General features: G+C 52.7%; 3 annotated features.

Annotated features, from left to right (window-relative positions):
- Positions 1,846-2,345: an enhancer, noted in NCBI's record as "H3K4me1 hESC enhancer chr20:24796765-24797264 (GRCh37/hg19 assembly coordinates)". NCBI's record gives its function as "activates a minimal SCP1, AML or CMV promoter by ChIP-STARR-seq in primed H9 embryonic stem cells {active_cell/tissue: H9 hESC(primed)}" and the evidence as "EXISTENCE:reporter gene assay evidence [ECO:0000049][PMID:30033119]".
- Positions 2,346-2,847: an enhancer, noted in NCBI's record as "H3K4me1 hESC enhancer chr20:24796263-24796764 (GRCh37/hg19 assembly coordinates)". NCBI's record gives its function as "activates a minimal SCP1, AML or CMV promoter by ChIP-STARR-seq in primed H9 embryonic stem cells {active_cell/tissue: H9 hESC(primed)}" and the evidence as "EXISTENCE:reporter gene assay evidence [ECO:0000049][PMID:30033119]".
- Positions 9,134-9,634: an enhancer, noted in NCBI's record as "H3K4me1 hESC enhancer chr20:24789476-24789976 (GRCh37/hg19 assembly coordinates)". NCBI's record gives its function as "activates a minimal SCP1, AML or CMV promoter by ChIP-STARR-seq in naive H9 embryonic stem cells {active_cell/tissue: H9 hESC(naive)}" and the evidence as "EXISTENCE:reporter gene assay evidence [ECO:0000049][PMID:30033119]".

Genomic DNA, 22,567 nt, shown 5'->3' with positions numbered 1-22,567 from the left:
GACCATCTAGCAGTCTATAGGGGTTCCGAATAAATTCCCGGGACCTGGAAATTATTGGATTTATTTTATTTTAAGCAGAAACATTTTATGTTTACTTTGGTAATGGCATGCTCCACTTAGTGTGGTCATTCTTAGCTCTCTTGTTTTGTGTCCACTTTGGAGTCTGGCTCTGGGCAAGCACTCAAATGCTCACAGGAGCCCCACTGCTCAGGGCACCCTCTGAACCCAAGGGCCTTTAAAGGGGGAACAGCAATGTGAGAACGTGGGTGGGGACAGCGAGTGAGGGGCCAGGTGCAGGGTGACAGCAGGTGTAGGTTCTGCACAATGCACACTGCACTGCATGGAGGCACTGTGTGCTCCCCAGCTGAGTGCAATGATGCTCAGAGTGTGAAATCGCAGGTCTCAGCACTCAGTGGGGTGCGGAGGTGCTTGGGTTTGAGAAGCCAGGGGAGCAGGCAGCTCAGGGCCAGCAGATTCGCCCCTCTGCACTTGGGGAGCTTTTGGCCGTCTCCTGGGTGAGGGAGTGGTGGTCACCGGTGGGTTCATGTGGTTCCCTGTCATTCTGTCTCTATGGCCCCGCCCTCCCTGACTGTGCCGTCAGTGGTCAGTGTGCCTCCATGCCCTCTGCGGTTGAACATTAGTCATGATCATTAGGCTTTTAATGATCTTATTGAGTACCCAGTGCCGGCCTCAATTTTTACTTGGAGAATGTGGGGTTTACATGACAAAATATGACCATGCACGCACTCTGATTGCCTGAATTAGGGGCTCTTGGGCTTGGCTGCTGGTTGGAGTCACCTGGGAGCTTCAGGAAATTCCAAGGCCAGGCCCTCCCTCCCAGAGGTGGGGCTGAACGGACCTGGGGAGCAACCTGGGTGCTGGGACTCAGGAGCTGCCAGAGGCTGAGGGGAGCCAGCAGGGCGCCTGTGGGGTTCTCTGGGTGGTCCAGCGGAAGCCAGTGCTGGGCTCTGGAGAGGAGAGTGAGCAGCAGTGTGGAGTACAAACCTCCGTCACAGACCTGGCTGCTCAGGGCGGCACAACCTTTTGGAAGAGTATGTGGGCAAGAAATTGGATGATTTATCTAAAAAAGATGCCAGCATGGTGTGAGTGGGTGACTTTATTTAGATGTAACTGTGCATAGATTAGGCTGTTTGGATGTGTTTAATTATGGCCTGTGATGGCGTCACTTTACCAATCATTTCTATTAAATGTCCTCAAGCCTAGTTTGAGACTTTAGGTCAGGTTAAAACTGTTTTATCTGTCAGCACCCGGGAGACTTGGGAAGGACTGTCACTGCAGGACCAGCCCTAACTGTCCCTATCATGTGGATCACAGGATGTCAGGCTATTTTGCAGAAGTAGCAGAGGTGAAACTGCAGTCATGTGACCTGGGCATGTGGAGAGGAGGAAACCATAACCTTCAGTAACACTTAGAACCAACGTTTCTTACTGGAGGAACCAAAAAGCCTGGGCATCACTGGAACGCAAACACTGGAACCTTTCAGAAACAAGCAGTCTGTTATCCAGGAAGAGCCAGTGCTGAAGTCCACCATTCCACACCTTACCATAAATAACCACGTTCAAAGCCGTCCCATTAAAATCCGCCCCGCCAGTGCGTCTGCATACTAACCTGCCCTCCCCAACCCATGAAAGTCTCACCTGACCCAATACTGGGGATTCGGATTTGAGCCCTGCCTCCTGTCTCCTTGCTGGTTGGCCTTGCAATGAAACCTTTTCTTTTCTCAAAAGCCAGGGCTATAATATTGGCTTCCATGTGCAGTGAGCCCATTGCATGACTCAGAGGATGTGTGGGCACACAGCAGGATGGTGTGGGTCAGGCAGGGGCATCGCAGATCCAAGGGCTGGCAGGTTCCTTTAATTCAGGGTCACCGTGGGCAGTTGGGGGTGATGCAAGGGAAAGCTCTGAAAACCACCGGGTCAGTGTGGCATTGGGAACCTGCCATGTCTCGGCTATCAGGGATGGTCTGACATGACCCTGCCCTGGCCCTGGGCTGAGATCACTGTCCTTGCAACGTCCTGTGCTCTGCTCCATCTTGGCACTTTTTTTGTGTGATGAGGAATGAGTCCAAATGTCCATTATTATTTTCCCACTTCAGGCCACCCGTAGGAGAAGCTCCAGGCCACCCACATTCTGCCTCTACTTCCAGCCCTCTGTCGTGGATGCAGCTCAGTTCCTGTGGATTCTCCAGTGGCCCCTTGCAATGCCCGTGCATCTGCCCACAGTGTCACGTCCACCTGCTGGAGGAGGGGACTGAGGGGACGAGGCCCGAGGGTGGAGGGGTAACGTGTCCATGCTCCTGCTTTTCAGGAGGCATGGCTGGGGTGCTGGCAACGTGGCCTCCCTGCTGCTCCGTGTCTCTGTGTCCCTCCCAAGTCCCTGGGCCGTACATGTGGGTGGAACAGGCTGGTGACCACACGGCGCTCAGCACGGGGCCACGCACGTTCCGACGACCTTCAGTCTCAATCCATTTCTCCTCAGCCACCTCCCTGGGCAGAGGGAACGAAAGCATTGAAATCATAGCCACTTTTAGCCACTTTAAGTTGGAGGGAACTTGTTTTTCCTTGGAGGCACTGGGTAACTTCCCACCCTGGGGAGAGCGTGGGTAATGACTGCCCTAAAGAACATGTGACCTTCCTAGGATACAAAACAAGAGCCAGGAGAGGCTCTGTGGGGTCTGTGGGACTTCAAGGGCTGAGGAAAGGTGGCGTTCTTAAAACTGGAAAGGTGTCTGGTGAGCACGAGACCTTCTCAGGGAGTCTGGGCCATTCACCCTCACAACAGAGGCAGGTGGAGAAGGGAAGGTGCCCGCCCACTTTGCCGGGTTCCTCTGGTGGCCGAACATAGGCTTCCCTCACATAGGAGCCTCCACTGAGCAGGCTCAGGGGGCGAGGCTGTCAGCGTGAACCAAGGGATGGCCGGAGGTGCAGGCAGAGCGTGGGGAAGCTGTGAACCTCAGTCTGCAGGGACTTTGCATTTCCTTGCTTTTCATAAATCATCCTCATTCGGTTTTACACCTGGCCTCCTCTCTGTGGAAAATCCCACTTCCAGTTTGTAAGGCGAGTTCTGATTCCCAGCCGCTTCCTCCCCACCTCACCAGGGTTATTTCAAAGACTCAGGCAAGGCCGAGGCACCGAAAAGCCCTCTGGCCACAGGTGGTCCCCACTGGGTTGGGCCACCTGGTGTCCCTTCGTGCTGTGCTTTGGGGAGACCAAGAATATCATGGAATCACTTCCCAGGACAAGCGATCCAGGAGAGCCTGAGGTCTCTCAGCTTTGAGGTCTGCAGCCTCCCAGCTCCTTCAGGCCCACTGGGTGGTCTATTTAGTCCGCAGGAAGCCCCCACGTTCTGCACCTGCCTGAACTTTCTGCCTCTTCCCTCTTCTCTTGGTTTGGGATTTTGGGAAACAAGAGCCAAGAGGTGTCCATGGTGACGCTGGCTCTCTGCCCTGCTGTGTGCTCACCTCTGGAGGCACCAGGAGAACCACCTGCCTGAGTGGAGGAAGGAGAAGGAGAGTAGGGCCCAGGAGAGAGCATCACAAGGCATCTACTGGAAGCACGTGGAGGCCTGAAGGAAGGCTACTTGTATCCTTCTCACTGAGAAACGTTTTGGGAACATGGTATGGACTAGGTAGGAGTTAAACCGTCACTGGGCAGAGACAGGCAGGACTATGGGTCTTGGGTGGGCTGAACCAGGGCCGAGGAGCTGGAGTCCAGCAGGGTGTCGGCTGGTCTCAGTTCACACGGCCAAGGGCCCAGGCTCCTGTCTGCCAGGGTGAAGGTGGTGGGGGTGAATCAGAGAACCTGGTCACTTTTGGGGACAGTTAATCTGGACACAAAGAGGCAATAATCTTCCTGGGTGTGAGGTGCTCAGCAGCCAGCCTGGACTCCACTAGGAGGAGAGGAGGAGGTGGGCCGTAGGCTTGAGCTCCCCCATGCCTCTTTCTCCCTCCCAGGGCTGAACATCTAAACTCTATGCCTCATGCTGTCAGTCCTTCCCTGGTGTTCACCAGCAACCCCTGGTTTGTTCTCGGTCCTTATCATGTTACCTCTGGAGGACTGATTTTAAACATTAAGAAAGTGTCACAGACACAAGGTGAGTGTCTTGAATTTCTGGAAAACAGAGACCTGAAGCTCCCAGGGATGCAGCCACCCTTCAGCCTGAGTGTGCATTACTGACCACCACACCATCGACGTCTTTTTGAAAAATGGCCCCATTTATGAGTGGGAGGCATATTGCTCTTTGATTTATGGGTCATTCTTGCAGCATTTATTGATCCGCAGCCCCCCTGCAATCATTCACAACCCACAGGGCACAGCCACCATGGCTCCACCAACCGGGGCAACTGCACAGACTGCAAAGAGACAGGGACGGACTTTGTGGCCTCTGATGTCCAGGCAAGCTGGTTCCCAAGTCCCAAACAGCTCTTAAAGCTGAGCGTGTGCACTTATTCCAAGTACACATAGCAAGGAGGGAAGAGAGAGAAGAGAGAATTTAAATACCCTCACCCATTCCATTTTCACCTTCCTGATCAAGCGTAGCTCTATTTTCCATGAGGAATATGAAAAACAAATTTATGTCAAGCGGGTGAGAGACCTAGTGGAGGGTCTTTCTGTTTGTGTTGATGATGAAATGGACTCGAGCTTATTGAAAAGTATTTGCAGGTGTCCCATAGAAGGGTATGTGTGCCGTGGTTACTCCTCCAGAGCTGCAGTGATGGACATAGAGCCATGAGTCACTCTGGAGGCTTCAGCCGGTGCTGGGGTCCCCAGGAGAGCAGGGGACAGGCTCCTCTGGAAGGCTGGCTAGCCCTGGTATGGCTGAGGGCTCTTCTGCTGGGCTGAGAAGACAGCCTATTTTAACAAAGAAGAGAAGGAAGTTTTCATTTCTGCTTTCTTGTTGTGGATCAAAGAGATAAAAGTGCAGTGTGTGGCACCAGAACACCAGCACCCGCTGACCTCTTTGAAATCAGATTTTCAGGGACCCACCTCACCTCTGTCTCTGTCTCTCTGTCTCATACACAGAAACACACACGCACACGTGTGCACACGTGCACACACACGCACACACGCACACACACGCACATGCACACACACGCACACACATGCGCACACACGCACACGCACATGCATGCACACGCACACACACGGAAACACATGCACACACATGCACGCACACACACACATGCGCGCACACACACACACGCAGACACATGCGCACACGGCACGCACGCGCACACCCACACCCACACGCAGACGCGCACACACACGCACACACATGCGCACGCACACGCGTGCGTGCACACACGTGCACGCACACACACGCACACACACGCTCGCACACACACACACACATCTCCTGTGAACATTACTGCCTTCGTCATGGTTTCTCATTCTTGGTCAGAAGCCCCTGTCCCCCTAGTCCCTTGCCACTCTAAAAGGAGATTCTTGGATTCTGTTCCACACCTTTTGAGTCCATGGGCAAGCCTAGAATTTGCATTTTTAGTAAGTAAGCCAGTGGTTCTGATGTAGACAGTCCACATATTACAGTGATGTCTGGACACACCGTTTAGAGATGTTTCCGACTGTTGAAGTCCATGACTTGTCACGTTTTCATGCTGCATCCACTGACAGGAGCTGACTACTTAAGGAACAAATGTAAATCTTGTCTTACAACTAGGTGGTTTGGGTATGCTGAGTGATAGACATGTCCCACTTTAAGCAAAACACAAACACAAAAACCTAAGTCTACCAAACAAATACCGGAGTTATTTGTTTGTACACTTTGTAAAACAAAACTCATCGCAGCAGAGAGGGGAGTGGAGGAAGCCTTGCTGAGAGCTGCCCTTCCCTCGGAAAGCTGAGATCCGGGCTGGCTGGGTCGGCACTCATCCCTGATGCTCTGCCCGGTGGTGGAGGGTGGAGGCTTGATTTCTGCCCCAGACAAAGGTCACTGTGACCCAGGCAAGAGGGTGGGGTGGCATGGGAGCTGCTGGGTGGGGAGGTGGGCACCTAAGAGGGCAGGGACCCCTCCCAAATAGCTCTGGCTCAAGTATTCCTCCCAATCACCCTCTAATGAGCCTTCTTGAGAAATCAGCCTGGGGGCAAAAGGCAGGGAGCACCACCCACCTCCCGAGTCTTGTGCACTGGGGGTTCTAGGAAGGAGAAGGTTTGAGCACCCCAGCCTGGGGTATGGGGCAGGCAGCATCAGGAGGGTGGAATATGGGGCAGGCAGCATCAAGAGGGTGGGTTATAGGGCAGACAGTGTCAGGAGGGTGGGGTATGAGGTAGACAGTGTCAGGTGGGGGCAGGCATGGGACAGACAGTGTCAGGAGGGTTGGGTATGGGTCAGACAATGTCAGGAGGGTGGGGTATGGGGTAGACAGTGTCAGGAGGGTGGGGTATGGGTCAGACAATGTCAGGAGGGTGGGGCATGGGGTAGACAGTGTCAGGAGGGTGGGGAATAGGTCAGACAATGTCAGTAGGGTGGGGTATGGGGTAGACGGTGTCAGGGGGGTGGGGTATGGGGTAGACAGTGTCAGGGGGGTGGGGTATGGGACAGACAGTGTCAGGGGGGTGGGTTATGGGGTAGACAGTGTCAGGAGGGTAGGTTATGGGGTAGGCATTGTCAGGAGGGTGGGGTATTGGGTAGGCAGCGTCAGGGGGGTGGGGTATGGCACAGGCAGCATCAGGAGGGTGGAATATGGGGCAGGCAGCGTCAGGAGGGTGGGATGTGAAGCAGACAGTGTCAGGAGGGTAGGTTATGGGGTAGACAGTGTCAGGAGGGTGGGGTATGAAGCAGACAGTGTCAGGTGGGTGCAGGCATGGGACAGTGTCAGGAGGGTGGGGTATGGGGTAGGCAGTGTCAGGAGGGTGGGGTATGGGGCAGGCAGTGTCAGGAGGGTGGGGTATGGGGCAGACAGTGTCAGGAAGGTGGGGTATGGGGCAGACAGTGTCAGGAGGGTGGGGTATTGGGTAGACAGTGTCAGGAGGGTGGGGTATTGGGTAGACAGTGACAGGAGGGTGGGGTATTGGGTAGGCAGTGTCAGGAGGGTGGGGTAGGGGTGGGCAGTGTCAGGAGGGTGTGGTATGGGGCAGGTAGTGTCAGGCAGGTGCAGACACATGGAGGCCCCCTTTCCCAACCCCACTTCCACTGACTCCTTCCCCTTGTTGGCTTAACCAACCCACCAGGTTCAGAGTTCAAGCCATGTGGGCTGGGTAGGGCGGTTCCCCTAAGCATGTGACCCTGCATGCCCAAACAGAGTGCCTCTCTGCACTAGCAGCCACACGGATTGGTTCCGCCATAGCCCAATCCAGAGTCCCTGAGAATCTTGCTATAATATTGAGGGAGAGGCTCCTCTGGTCACAAGTCACAGTGGGGCCTTGAGATCACATTTGCCCACCTATGGGTTCTGCCTAGATTCAGCCTCCAGAAAGCCTCAGCCCAGAGGAGCAGGAATGAGACAGATTCCCGAAGCTGGGCTTGGAGATCCCTTGGCCTGCACTTCCCAGTCCATTTCCTGTGTTCAGGCAAGTGTGTCTGGTGCCTGCCCCAGCTCCCATAGGATGACCAAGTCATGCCTGGAGCAGATGCCTGCACTGCGCCTGGAACTCAGCTGGCTCAGTTAGCAGCAGCAGCCATGGTTGTCCTAGGAAAGGGTGGGGCGTCTCTATGTTCACACTTTAGGGAAAGCTGGCTTTCTCTCCATGGACAATACATTTTTTTTTTTTTTTTACTTTTAATTTTGAAACAATCTCAAACTTAAAAAGAAGATTGCAAGAACAGTATGGAGAACTTTCCCCAGAACCATTTAAAATTAAATTGCTAACATAACGCTCCATCACTCCCAATGCCTTAGTGTGTGATTCACGCAATCCCTACAGAAAAACACTCCTCTGGGAGCACAATGTGGCTATCGAAATTGAGGAATTAGCACACACACTTTATTTATTTATTTATTTTTCCCTTAAAAAACTTTTTTCCTGTTTTTAAAATTTCAACTTTTACTTTAGATTCAGGGGGTGGATGTGCAGGTTTGTTCCATGGGTATACTGTGTGGTGCTGGGGTTTGATCTTGTCACCCAGTCATTGGGCATAGCACCCAACGGTCAGTTTTTCAGCTCTTTTTTTTTTGAGACAGAATCTTGCTCTGTTACCCAGGCTGGAGTGCAGTGGCACGATCTCAGCTCACTGCAACCTCCGCCACCTGGGTTCAAGCAATTCTCGTGCCTCAACCTCCCGCGTAGCTGGGATCACAGGTACCCACCACCACACCCAGCTAATTTTTGTATTTTTAGTAGAGACGGGGTTCCACCATGTTAGCCAGTATGGTCTTGATCTCCTGACCTCGTGATCTGCCCGCCTCGGCCTCCCAAAGTGTTGGGATTATAGGAGTGAGCCATTGCGCCCGGTCTTTTCAGCACTTTAATCGGCCCGTCCTCAGCCCCCTTGAGTGTGGCCAGTCATCTCAGTCATGTCCTTCATAGCCAGGGTCCAGGTTTGGAGTCCCACGCTGCATTCATGCCTCCTTTCACCTGCAGCCGCTCTCTGGCCTTTCCTGACCTTCGTGAGCTTGTTGCTTCTGGAGCCCACAGATCAGTCACCTTCTGTGTGTGTGATGTCTCTTCACACCAGGGCCTGAAGGCAGCTTGGGCCGAGATCACAGGAGCGAGACCATGTTCGCTCAGCGTCCTCGCAAGAAGCTGATCTCGCCCCACAGCTCCAGGGAGGGCCATTGACACTGAAGGTCGCAGGTGCAGGGACGGGGAGGAATTAGGATTTTAGCATCACCAGTGAGACGTGACCCCAGGGAGTCTAGTTCTGGGAATGAGGCAGGGATGAGAATAGCATCTGAGAGGCCAGAGAATCGTGATACTGCTCAGCACTTCCTCTTAGGACTCCAGCACCTACTGCTGTGGAGCCCTGGACACGTTCTCCCCCTGTGCTGGTCTCCATTCCTCTGCTATGAGATGGGAACAGCACCGCCCATCTCCCCGCGCTGCAGGCCGCTGTCCAGGGAGGGTTTGGGTATCAGAGAGCCTAGCACCGGAGGCTCAGCTGGAAGCACAGTGCTCGTTCACCCCGACATCTCATGTTTCTGCTGACCTCAGTGCCCGCCCGAGGTGAAAGCCCTTCTGTACCCCAGCTAAAGGGTCCCGAGTCCTGGGTAGCTCCTGTGACACCATGAACATGATCCCTGACACCCTCAACGTTTCCCAGGATGCTCCTGCCTCTTTTATGGGGTGCCCAAGTCTTGGCTTTGCCCCTAGAGGCCCATTGCCCTGCAGCCCTGCAGATCAGAAGTAGGGCCACGTCCTCCTGGCCCCACGAAGTGTGTGCAGGCCCAGCTTGTCTAATTTGCCAAAGCTCTGCCCCTCATCTCTCCCCCTTCCATTTTCCTCTCAGCTCTCATCAGCAGGGCTGTGACAGCCATGTCAACCCAGGTGTATCAGTGTACTCCCTCAACCTTAGTGACCCTCACCCCACCCTGTCCCCAGAGCCCTGCCCTGGGCCTCCTGAGGAGCTTGCCTTGCACTGTGCCCTGCAGCCCTCACGTGATCTCACAGCCCGCAGCCCCCACATGATCACACAGCCCACAGCCCCCACATGATCTCACAGCCCACGGCCCCCACGCGATCTCACAGCCCACAGTCCCCATGCGATCTCACAGCCAGCAGCCCCCACAGGATCTCACAACCCGCAGCCCCCACGTGATCTCACAGCCCGTAGCCCCCATGTGATCTCACAGCCCACAGTCCTCACATGATCACACAGCCCATGTCTCCCATGCGATCTCACAGCCTGCAGCCCCCACAACCAGCACACTGCCCACTGAGACCAGCCAGCCTCAGAATTAATTGTTCATGGTCTCCAAACTCACTGGACTCCTATTTTAAGGAACACAGAGCGGCCATACCTTGTCCAAACTGCAAGTCTGTGAGAAGGATAATGAGTGATTTGTTTCAAGCCCCTAAGGTTTAGGAGGTTTGTTACACAGCAGAAGAAACCACAAGAGCTAATCTACCTTCAACTCATGGCAAAACTTGCATTTTAAAACCAGAGTGAGCTGGGCGCGGTGGCTCACGCCTGTAATCCCAGCACTTTGGGAGGCCGAGGCGGGCGGATCACGAGGTCAGGAGATCGAGATCATCCTGGCTAACACAGTGAAACCCCGTCTCTACTAAAAATACAAAAAATTAGTCGGGCATTGTGGCGGGCACCTGTAGTCCCAGCTACTCAGGAGGCAGAGGCAGGAGAATGGCGTCAACCTGGGAGGCAGAGCTTGCAGTGGGCCGGAGATCATGCCACTGCACTCCAGCCTGGACGACAGAGCCAGACTCCATCTCAGAAAACAAAAACAAAAACAAAAACAAAAAACCAGAGTGTACTTACACATTAAAGTATCCTATGTTCGTGTATTTTTTGGAAAGCTATTGTACAATTTGCTACAATAAAGTCCTTCCCCTGGAGGCCAGGGGCAGTGGCTCACACCTGTAATCCCAGCACTTTGGGAGGCCGAGGCGAGCAGATCACTTGAGGTCAGAAGTTCGAGACCAGCCTGGCCAACATGGTGAAACCCTGTCTCTACAAAAAACACAAAAATTAGCTGGATGTGGTGGCACGTGCCTATAATCCCAGTTACTTGGAGGCTGAGGCACAAGAATCATTTGAACCTGGGAGGTGGAGGTTGCAGTGAGCTGAGATGGCCCCACTGCACTCCAGCCTGGATGACAGAATGAGACTCCATCTAAAAAAAAATTAAAAAATAAAAAATAAAAAGTTTTTCCCCTGGAAACAGAATGACAGAATGTTAATGGCAGGAAGAGGCCACGTGGAGTAAGGTCAGCCTACAGTTGAGAGCATGCTGTGGCCAGCAGACCAGCGTTCAGCAGCGGCAGGACTGGGAGTGTGCACTGCTCTCTGTGTTAAGTTGTGCAAGGGTGAGCTGGTGTGAGATGGAGTAGCAGATCCCCCAGCCGGCCCCAGGCCCCCGCCCTCAACTGCCTGGCACCTCTGCCAGCTGATTCCTCAGCTACGCCTCCTGGACTTCTACACTCCAAGCACACCAGCTTCTTGGATGTCTGCCACACTCCCAAATGTGTCCCATACTTTCTGTCTTTGCACCATTGCTTCTACCCCATACAGGAGCCATGTCCCGTGAGATGCTCCCTCTCCCAGGAAACTCTGAAGCTCCCAAGCCACTTGGATGCCTTTTCTTCTGAGCTTCAGAAGCCCCCAGTGTCCCCTTGCTGACTCAATGGGATCCTCTGCTGGACTCAGAGCTTCCTGAGGATACAACCAGACTAATGCTTGGAGCAGGGCCGTGGGGCCTGGGCATCGTTGGCTGGCCACACTGATGGTGTTGGTTGATTGGGGCAATGGGTGTGGCCTTCAGGATAGCTCTGCCTGCGTGTGGGGGCCCAGGGCTGCCCATGCTGGGACTCCAGAGAAAATTGGCAGGAGCTGCTGCATCTGGGAAGGGAGGGGGCTGCTCCCTGCACTGTGCTGTCCTTAGTTTGTGTGACTGCAACACTGCCATCTCTTTCTGAGGTCATCGCCTCTCCTGTGGCTCCTTCCCTGCGTCCCATGGAGGACACGCGGATTTGTGTGCTCTAGGAAGAAGCGGCTGATGAAAACCTTTTTGCTGAGTGTCTGCCTGAGCAGCAAGATGAATCTACCACCTTTTGTCTGTATCAAGAATTTGTAATAAGTTGGGCTCTGACAGGCCCATTTTATTTCCACAAAGCTTCGTTGGAGAAATGATGTCCTTTGATTAATCTTCACATTAATTTCAAGCTGGTGCTGCGAGATTGTCCCTGCACAGGTGAGGCCAGCTGCAGTGGGAATTAGCCATTGTGAAACAAGACACAAGACGCTGAAGGTTTACCATGACTGATGTTTCTTAGGAGGTTGGGACTTTCTTCATATTTGAAATCTTTAAAGCCACAGGATTGCCAGGAAAAATGACACAGGGAAGTGCTGGTGCTGTGGGATGTTTACCAGTTCGTTCTGTTTGGGGACCCAGACTTTGCCAGACAGGGCAATTAGGTAGCATGCACAGAGACGTGTGCACACATATGCACACACACGTGCCTGTACGTGCATGTAGCAATATGCACACTTGCACTCACAGACACATGCATTCATATGTGCATGCATACACAGGGCATCTTGAGTACATCACCCGTCAGCACATCTTTGAGTGCCTACTGTGGCAGGTTAAGTTCCCCGGAAGTGGACTCTGAGATGGAGGTTGCCATGCAGGCGTTTCCTAAGCAGGGCTCTCAGGATCAGGGGGAGCCATGTGCAGAACTGCCACAGGGGCCTGGTGATGGAGCTCTAGAGCCGGAATGACTCCTGGGAGTTGCCTTGAGTTGGGTCTGAATGGCCAGGCCTTTGTGTTCCACCTGAATAAACCACCGGGTGTGTGACGTCCCAGGCAGGCTCTGACCTTGGGTGCGGCACATGGAGTAGGCCTAAGAATGACAAGAGTTCCTCTTCTGGGCTGGTGGTTCTGGAGGCCACTCTAACTGCTCCTTGTTTACTTTATTTCAACCTCTTGTCCTCCGTTTTCTTTAGGACATCCACAGTTTAGCCAACAAAGAGTGGGGATGGCCTGGCAACTGTTAGCCTAAAAAAGGGTTATTGCTAAGCCCTGCTCATCCTCCACCAATAGAGACAGGACACAGTTACCTGCTCATGACTAAATGAAACTTTTATCTTCACACGTGTGTGTCCTTTTCAAAGCCTGCGGAGGTGAAGACACATGGGTGGGGCAGCAGCGACCCACTGCAAGTGGCCTCTCTCTGCTTTTCCTGCTGGGCCTTGAGGCCAGAGGTCCCCATAAGAACTGACAGCCTGCCAGGAGCCTCAGGCCACATGGAATGAAGGGTTGAGGGCCTGCTTTCCAGGCTCAGATGCCAGCATGTGTGGACGGATGGACAGAACCTTCTCACTGATCTCAAATACTCCTGTTGATGGGCCAGGTGGCTCTAAACACTTTGAGAGGTAAGTGCACTCGGGGCTGGAGGGGGCTGGGGTTTGTCTTCAGACTCAGTTTCGTGTATCCGCAGCATTTCTCCCTTTAGGCCGGCCCTGTGCCTCTCTCACTATGTGCCCCCTGACCCTGCCAATCAAAGCCTGAGTGTGGGCAGGAACTCAGATCAGCTCCTGACCTCTCCCAGGGGTATTTGTGTTATAAGCCTCGTTTCTGATTATGGCATTAACACCTCTGCACCATGATAAAGGTCCTACAGAAAAGGAGGGGAGAGCTTTCGGGCTGTAGAGGGCTTTTCCAAAGCCCCAGGCTCGGACAACACCAACTTCTCAGGACAGTCCTTGTTCGTGCCTGCTGCCCCAGCGCTGTGACTAATGGCAGTGTTTCTGCTCTCGAAAGTGTCCTGGTCTGAACCATAATGATAGAGTGTTCACTGTTCTCTACTCATAGGTCACGACAGAAGAGCTTTCGAAAGTGCGGGACAAGCTGAGAATCTCTGGGGGATGGGTATTGTGAGGTGGAAGTGAACTTGTGGTCTTTACAGTGGATTCCTCAGCTGCAGGAGCAGCACACATGGCAGGTGCTCCACAAACAAAGAACGTGCGGCCTCCTCCCTTAGCCCCATTTTGCAGATGAGCACAATGAGGAGAAGAATCCTGACCCAGGCCTTAGTGCTCTGTTCTCCAGCTCCTCCTGCTTGCTGGGGCTTCAGGCAGGCCCGTGACGGAGCCAGGGCTGCTCCGCCTGTGCTGGGCTCTCTGTACAGGTCTGGCAGGTGTGCCAGGCCATGGCCTCCCTCGGGTCTCCTGCCAGCAGTGCTGCCAGGGGCCAAGGTGGGCCCAGATGCACCAAAGCTCCTGGTCTTGATGCTGCTGTGGTTACAGGTCTGCACTCATCACAGACACAGCCTCAGGCTTCCCCACGCTGAATGCATGAATCATCTGAATGCAGCTCGGAAAGGGGGTCTTTCTTCACTGGGTGTGCATTCACAAGCTCCTCGAGATGCAGGAGAAGGTGTCAGTGGAACTGCATCTTTCAGAACACATGCACAGACCAGCACTTTTCCATCTTGGGAAGAGAAAAACCCTCCCTGTATCCCTGCTCCACTGGGTCTCCAGGGCTCTGAGCCTGTGGACTTAGGGTTGATTGAATTCCCTGGTAGCCGGCTCAAAACCAAAACCCTAAACCAAGAGCCTGTATTCCAGAGGTAGGCTTTGTTATGAACAATGGAAATGTCAGTGAACTGTGTTTATTTTGACTAGTGTACTGAAGCGTTGAAGGAAGATGCATTTCAGTCCCGGTGTCACATAAAAAGCAATTTCCGGGCCAGGTGAGGTGGCTCATGCCTGTAATCCCAGCAGTTTGGGAGGCTGAGGCGGGTGGATCACCTGAGGTCAGAAGTTCGAGACCAGCCTGGCCAACATGGTGAAATCCCATCTCTACTAAAAAATACAAAAAAAAATAGCAGAGTGTGGTGGTGGGTGCCTGTAATCCCAGCTACTTAGGAGGCTGAAGCAGGAGGATCACCGGAACCTGGGAGGCAGAGGTTGCAGTGAGCAGAGATTATGCCACTGCACTCCAGCCTGGGCAACAAGAGCTAAACTATGTCAAAACAAACAAACAAACAAACAAACAAATAAACACAATTTCCTGTTCCAAACATGTGTGGGACGGTGGAGTGGGGCTGAGGGGCACCTGTGTGGATGTCCAGGGCCCTGGGGATTTGGGGCTCACAGGAAGCCCTGAGAAGGATGGACAGGGCCTCTGCTCAGCAGAACCTCTGCTTGGCTGTGTCCTTTGGCAGCTTCAAGGAACTGGATCTTTGCTGTCGTGACCCCTGGAGTCCATGTGGACACCACGCAATGCCTGCCCCCCAACGGCCATGAAATATAGGTGGGGTTGGCTGGCCCAGGCAGCTATGCCTCCAGACCTGGTGCCAGGTAGCCTGAGAGGCAGCCGAGCCGCACGCCCCTGTGTCGAAGGGCAGAGGCCTCTGCAGGCCAGTGGCTCTCACTGGTGTTGCTGGAGGCCTCCTGCAGGGAGGGCAGGCAGAGAATTCCAGGCTCTTCCTTGTAGAAACCTGGGATGCCTTTCCCCAGTTTCTGTAGTGGACGCCTGTGTGGGAGTTCACAAGATGAAAGGATTCCATTGAAAATCCACTCGCCACACTAAGAAAACACTTGGACATCCCAGCATTCCCATGGTCACGCTTCCTATCCAACGACCTTGCCTGAGCACGGAAGAGATAAAACACCTCTGTTATACAGTGTTTGGCTGGCAGATCTTACTGCCTCAGGATTCCCTTCTGGCTGGCAAGCCAGATGGACGCATTGAAGGGCCAGGCCTCCTTGCCATGGCCATGGGACGGTTTGTCGCTCAGTTGAAGGTTAGGACAGATATTCATTCTTCAGGGCTAGCCTTTATTCATCATACTTCCCCTCTACCCCAACATTTTATTGTAAAATTATCAAACACACAAGAAGGTGGAGAGGATGGTAATCATCCTGGGGCTGGGCTGTTCCCTTGAGCCCTCTACCCCCTCCCCATTCCCCCACAGGACGGGTTGGGTGAGAACAGAAGCATCGTTTTGGTTACCTGTAGGGACTGCTGCACCTTCCTTCTCCCCCTCTCACCTCTTCAGACTGGGGACCAGGGGACAGTGTGGGCCCAGCCCCCAGCATCCTTCTTGGTCTTAGAGGACCAGGGCTGGGTGGGGTCAGGCGGGGTTGAGCAGCCTGGAGCTGGTGGGGGCAGTAGAGGCTGTTACTGATGCCCCTGGGACATGTCCTGGGGCGCTGTCCCTCTTGGGGTCATTTGGCAGACTTGTCCACTCGGCCTGTGGCATTTTAAGGGGATGAGGGCCAGGAGCATGGCCCAGGGCCCCAGGTTTCTGGCTCAAGGGTCGGGGTCCCATTCTCCCAGCCTGTCCCTCAGCCCCACCCTCCCCGCACTGGGCTCTACCTGCTTTGACCCCAGATAACAATGGCATGGTCTCAGCCCCGGGAGGGAGGTGTCTGGTGATAGCCTCTCAGCTGCAGGTCAGATGGCTGAGGTGTGGACGCCTAAGACCCAGCCCGTGAGATTGCTTGCAGATCGGGAGGGTCGACATCAGCTGGTTCATATGCACAGACACCCGAGTAGTGTTGGGATGAGTATGGAAGAGGGTGTGTTGGATATGCAGAGTTGAATATGTTTATTTTAATACAAATAACTTCTTCACCTGTAGTATTTATTCTTGGGTTTTCCTGCTGCCCTTAAACAGATCTTGATGGTGGTTAAAGGACTCAGGGAGTACTTCACAAGGGTATTTGCCCTCCATTCCTCTGCCCTGCAGCAGCACTGTGTGGGGTGTAGGGGTACAGCAGGGAACAGGGTAGTGACCCGCAGAGCTGGGAAGGGTGACGTGATGCACAGGCAGGGGCTCCAGGGCTTCGGAGGGAGGTTTTGGGGCTGTCAAGGAGGCCTCGGTGGTCAGAGAAGGCTCCAGGGATGGGAAGACAGTGCTGCTGAGTGTCAGGTGGCTAACTGGTTCCCTGAGCACCTTCTCCAAGGCCCCCTGGCCTTCCATGTCCTCTGTGGACACCAAGTCCTGCAGGGACCCTGACGTGTGGCAGGCATAGGTGGAGGGCAGGAGAGAACTCGCTGCTAGAAGCCTCATTAAGTTCCAAGGTGGCAGCAGGCACTAGGAGGGCAGGGTGGCAGGGCTATAGCTTGCTTCCCAAGTAGAGAGCAACAGTCAATTTTTATGACACTGTGATTTCAAATGTCTGGGGCCAAAGTAATAAGGAGAGCCAGGCTGGAGAGGCTTCAGAGGCTGACCCACCCACTCACTTTTCTTCCTGTGTCTAAAACCCAACCCCGCCAATCAAGAAAAACCTTGACCCAACAAGAAATGGGACCAGAGACCCCCAAAGTAGTGTGGAGACACAGGAGTGATTCTATCAGCTATTTTCTGCCTTGTGTTTTCTATGTATCTTATACTTGCAAAGTTAAATATGTCAAACAGCATGGGTGGGAAAAAAATCAAAGCCCTTCTGTAATCAGGACCTTCCTGAGGGCCTCTGGACAAACAGGCAGTAAACAGGAGGGTTACAGATTTTTCACATGCGACCCTGCCTGGCTCTGAGCAGGGTGCTGGAGCGCGGGGCTGCCAGTGTGTGGGGTGACTCCATGGCTCTGAACTGGCCCCTTCCTTACCAGCTTGAGTTGCCTTCTAGGAGCAACGAGACCCAGATGCCAGGCTCTGCAGGATTATTAGGGAGCTGGTCTTTCAATTAGAGCTGCTAATTACTCTGCTACTGCTGCTGACTTGCTTTGCATGAGGCTTGCTAATGAAGTGAACTTTGGGGTATCCTGTGAAATTATCAAGGCTCTTTGACCCATATATTGACATACACCAGGGGCACCCATGCAAGCCACGGGCATTATGAGAACATCTTCTTGGGGCACTTCATAACTAATTGGTAGTGGAGGGCGTTAAATAGTCTTATGGGCTTTACTAAGTTGGCAGTTGCTAATGAGGGTCAAGTCAGTTCCTCACTGAGAAGAGGCTGACAGCAGCTCACGGTTACAGAATGGGCAATTGGGGGATTTTTATGACTCCAGGCAGGATGCCGGGCAGTACTGACCTGTCAAAAAGAGCTGTGAGAGGTCTGCGGAGTCACGTGTGAAGGTAATTGCACAGATATCTTGTTTTATGACAATGAGGTCTGAGGGTGCTTCTTATACAGCTAATTCCTAGGCCCTACCCTAGATACAGATTCAGGGTCCAGGGATTTGCTTCCTTCACACATATGGGAAATGTGGCCAACTCTGGGCAAGTGGCATGCATGTGGAAAGTGGCAGCTGGCAGGATGGAGGGGAGCTGGCGTTCGTCAGACGTTTGCATGGCAAGTTGCTAAGGTGACACCATCGGTCCACTGGCATGGGTCTGCAGGGCGGGGGTGGGGCTGACTTTGGTCTGCTTCTACTCCCAAGCAGGTGTGGGTGGAGGATGGAACAGGAGGTGTGCAGCTGCTGCCTGGTGGGCAAGCCGGGGTCACCTGGATCTCAGGGAGCCAAGATGGAGTGCAGCCCCCACCCTCCAAGGCTGAGAAAGGGCTTCTTGTTCCCTCACCTGACTCCATGGCTCTGAACTGGCCCCTTCCTTACCAGCTCGAGTTGGCTTGGAGAAGGCTTGGAGCCGAGCACAGTAAGACCCTCAGGGACTGGTCCTGGGCTCCGGGGAGGTCCCAGTAGCTCCACCAGGAGAGGTTGACATGGGCGGTTGGCATGGGGGCGATCTAGGAACAGGAGACAGAGCACAACACCAAATAAGAGGCCTGGGTTTCCACTGCGAGATGGTGATGGCTGTCCCTCATCCACTTTTACCTTCTCGTATTTTCTGTGTCCCCTACAGCTGTATGTGACCATACCACTCAGTTCCGGCCATGAGATGTAAAGAGAAGTGTTTTATGGCACTTCCAGAAAACTGCCTCCTTATTGATGCCTAGAATGTAGATGTGATGGCTGGAGATTAAGCAGCTATTCTGTCCCAGTATGTGGGGCAGCAAGACAGGCAAGTCCCTGACACTTTGGACTCATCAGCCAAGGGACGCCTATCTTTGTTCCTCCTTTATGCAAAGGATGCATGACAATCTTGTTTAAGCCACTGCTATTTGTGCCACTTGAACCTAAATCTAGCCAATGTAAACTGATAACTGCCATCAGTGAAATCCAAGACTGGGCAGCAAGGATCTAGGGGCAGCATCAGGCACTGAAGGAGAATGTTCTTGCTCTCGGAAATACCGAGCTGCAGAAAGAGGCAAGACCCTGGTCTGGAAGGGATAAGAAGGCAGAGGCTCCTCCAAAGGCACAAGGAAAAGTCCACCTCTGGAGCTGGGCCACATGGTTAGAGTGGGCTCAGTGGCAGTGTGGTGTGCCATGCACGGTGCGGCTTGCTCTCTGTTGCTGTGTTCCCCTGCCTGGGGTCAGCGTGGGTCCCATGCTGGCCAAGGGTGGAGGGACACAGCTCCGCTTGAAGCATGAGAGGGCCTCAGAGGCAGGAGGGAAGCCATCTCTACATTTCCTTGTTTTCCTTTTCCAGGATTTCCATCCTGTCTTAGCAGTTGGTTAATTCCTGTGCATGCCCTAAATAACAGTGGTGCTGAGTCAGGGCATAAGTGGTCAGGGAACACTTGAGGACTGGAACTCATCGGATCAGCTCCCTGGTGGGCTGGGCGATTTCACAGCAGGCCAGAGAAGCCACACAGCGTTGGGCTCTTCAATTAAACTCACATCCACAAAAAGTCCTGGGATGGGTCCACCCACCCCGGCCAGGTGGGGGACAGTAGCGGGAACAGTGACAGCAGCCATGGTACCAGCCAGGGCCTGCCTTTTGCGCAGTGATCCTTATCTCACTTAATTGGATCTCCTTCTTGGTGCTGTAATGAAGATGGTGCTTGGAAAATTGCTCATAGCTGCAGAGCTGGAATTCAAACCTGGGCTGGTCCCACTCCAGTCTGTGAACTTTTCCGGAGCTGTCTTGTGTTGGGGTCTCATTTAGCTCTGCTGCTGGCTCATCCTGGGAGCTTAACTGAGTCACCACGGGTCTCTGTGTTTCACAGTTCTCTGTAAAGGGAGGGGGTGGACTAGATACATTTTGAAGGTCCCAAACTCTAGGGCTGGAAGATGAAGCTCTGCACCTGCCCCGACACCCACCTTTGCTGCACACTTTGTGGAGCGCTTAGGAGAAGCCCTCACTCTCAGGCTGTGTGTTGGAGACTGCAGGTTCCAATTATCTATTGCTGTTACACAAAATCCCCCAAACTTAGGGCTGGAAAGCAACCTGCACTCATCGTGTTATGGGCACGGATGCTGAGGGCCAGGGGTAGCTTTGTCTCTGCTCCATGATTCTGGGTCCTCAGTTGAGAAGACCGAGTGGGGTGGAGTCATCCGGGACTGAGGGCTCTTCCGAGGGAGCATCTTCCCTCCCACGCTCGGCTCCTGGCCTGGGCTCAGCTTGCGGGTGGAGCACCTCCCATGGCCGCTCGTCGGGCTGAGCCTTGAAACCAGGGTAGTGATGGTCTTTAAGAGGGAGTGTCCCACAAGTAGGTATCCCAGGAGATCCAAGTGGAAGCTCTGTGTCCTCTTCTGACCCAGCCTCAGAAGTCACCGAGCATCACTTCTGCCATGCTCTGCCAGTCGAAGAAGCCACAGCCCTCTAGATCCAAGGAGAGGGAGGCAGACCCCATCTCATGTGGGCCGGAGTGTCAAGGAAACTGGGATCTCTGTGTTGAAGCTGCCACAGGGCTGTAGTGAGGCTGCACTACACACCACACTCCTCCCCGTGAGCTTAGTCATGGGCTACAAGAACAGTGATATGAACCGAACACGTTTGCTCACATAGGTCACCGGGGTGCCTTCGACATGGTATTGGGCAATATGTGCATGGACCTGAATTTGGCCTTGGCTATCTAGAGGTCATCAATCTTGAGCTGATTAGCATTCCCTGGAGGGCTCATCCACACAGACTCCCAAGTCCCACCTCCAGAGTTCCTGATTCAGTGAGTCTGGGGTGGAGCTCAAGAATTTGCATTTCTGAGGAGGTTCTAGAAGATGCTGATGAACTGGTCCAGGGATCCCACTTTGAGAATTGGGGTTATCCAGGGACCATCCTATGCCAACTGGGCCTCTGGACTTTGGAAGCTCTGGTTATTAGAAGGCTGCACTCCCTGCATTTTTACTCTGCCCCATCAATTAAAAACCAAACAAAAACAAAACCGAAAAACTCCCAGCTATACCCAGATACATGCATTTCGTAAGTTATACATGTGTGTAATTGTTAATCACATTAAATCTTAGTGAAGCCTAATAGATATGTTTGCAGCTTAAAATAGCTATAAATAGAAGTTCCAGCATGTTCTTCCTGCATCCTGAAGGATGATTTGGGGGTTTGCAGGATGGCACAGCCCAGCCTGGAGTCCCCGGGGGGCAGATAATGGTGAGAACGTTCACCTTCAAGGTTCCTTACTGAATGCTTTGCTCAGAAACGGCATTGTTATCGTAATCCATGAATATTTAATGAACCCGGAGTCCATGCAAGGCAATGGGTCAGGTACTATAAAATATGCAAGGAAGCAAAACATGAATCTTATGACTTAGCTGCTACTGTGAATGTTGATTGTACGAATTGGGTCATTCTTGTCACACCCAACCAAAACAGAGTCAAGGAGCCAGAGGCAAAAAGCACTCAGGTCACATAACATTGCTCTGAAATATAATTCCCTGCAAGCCTGACTGCTGAAACTGCCTGTGGTGACCTGAAATCAGTTTTATCTAATGGGACCTGCTGCAAATCTAAGACTAATTTTACCCTCCGTCACTCACCAACCAGAGCTTGTCAACTCCCCAAAGCTTTACTAGTGCCAATAAACTTTCTCAAAGATCAGTACATGATATTTCTCCTTTTTATAAAACCTCCAACCTCCTCTTTGTACTTTTTACATGACTAATACCACCTGGTCTGTGTGTGTGCCCCAAATTGCAATTCTTCCTTCTCAAATAAAACATGAGATTTAAAAATTTATCTCTACAATTTTATTTGACTTTGACACTACTGTTAAGACTATGTGTTTCCTGTCTTGTTCTCAGAAGGTTTAAGGCAACAGAATCGAGGAGTTACGGAGTGAGAATATCAGTGCATGATGACCTGGTTACCCAAATCACTCATGCCAGTTCAACATTTACATGCTGCTTAACTTACTCCACTAAAACCAACGTAGGCATAAAAAGGGATGTCATGACTCTCGTAACTGGGAGGCTCAGGGCTGCATCTAGAGGTGGCAACAGTTAGGGACGCAAAGATGTCAGGGTCCCCTGTACCCCCACTGCCCTCAGCTTCCCTCTGGGTCTGGTCGCTTCTTCACCCTGCTGTTGATGTCTTTTTCCAGGCCACTGTCCTGATAGAAAGAGGCTTTCCCTACTTGTCACGTAGCTACGCTGTGGAAGGCGACTGGCCCTGCATGGGAGCAGAGCCACCTCTGGACCAAGCAGTGTGTAGGTGGTGGGTCACCAGGGTCCCAGCCTGGGTCACTTGCCCATTCGTGTGCATGTGGCTGTCATTGAAAGCCCCTCGGCAAAGGGAGGGACGTGGCTGAGAGAGCCGGCATGGCCCATGGCAGCCATATGTTTGGACAAAAGAAAGGAATCTATACTACTTGGTAATTAAACCTTATTTAATAATTAATAGCATTATGTATCACAGTGCAAAGCCAGTCCTGAATTATTCAAAAAATGGCTTAATTTTCCAGATGATTTTTGTGCTTTGGCAAGATTTTAATAAGCACCATCCATAAGAGAGGGTTCCACAGTGAAATATATTTATGAAATGCTCTCTACTCTACCCTCCTTCCTGTAGACTCAAAATTAACATTCCTGAATTCAAGGCCCAGAGAACTGCAGCTTTGAAGAAATCTCTTTAGCACAGTTTAGCCTCGAGTTTAACAAATTTATTGACTAAGATCCTCTTTTCCTTCTTCCCCACTCTAAAACTCAGACCCCTTATTGGGTGGA

The sequence above is a fragment of the Homo sapiens genome, chromosome 20, assembly GCF_000001405.40.
Source record: "Homo sapiens chromosome 20, GRCh38.p14 Primary Assembly".
NCBI lineage: Eukaryota > Metazoa > Chordata > Mammalia > Primates > Hominidae > Homo > Homo sapiens.
Note: the sequence above shows the minus strand (reverse complement) of the source record. Positions and strands in the feature narration are given on the sequence as shown.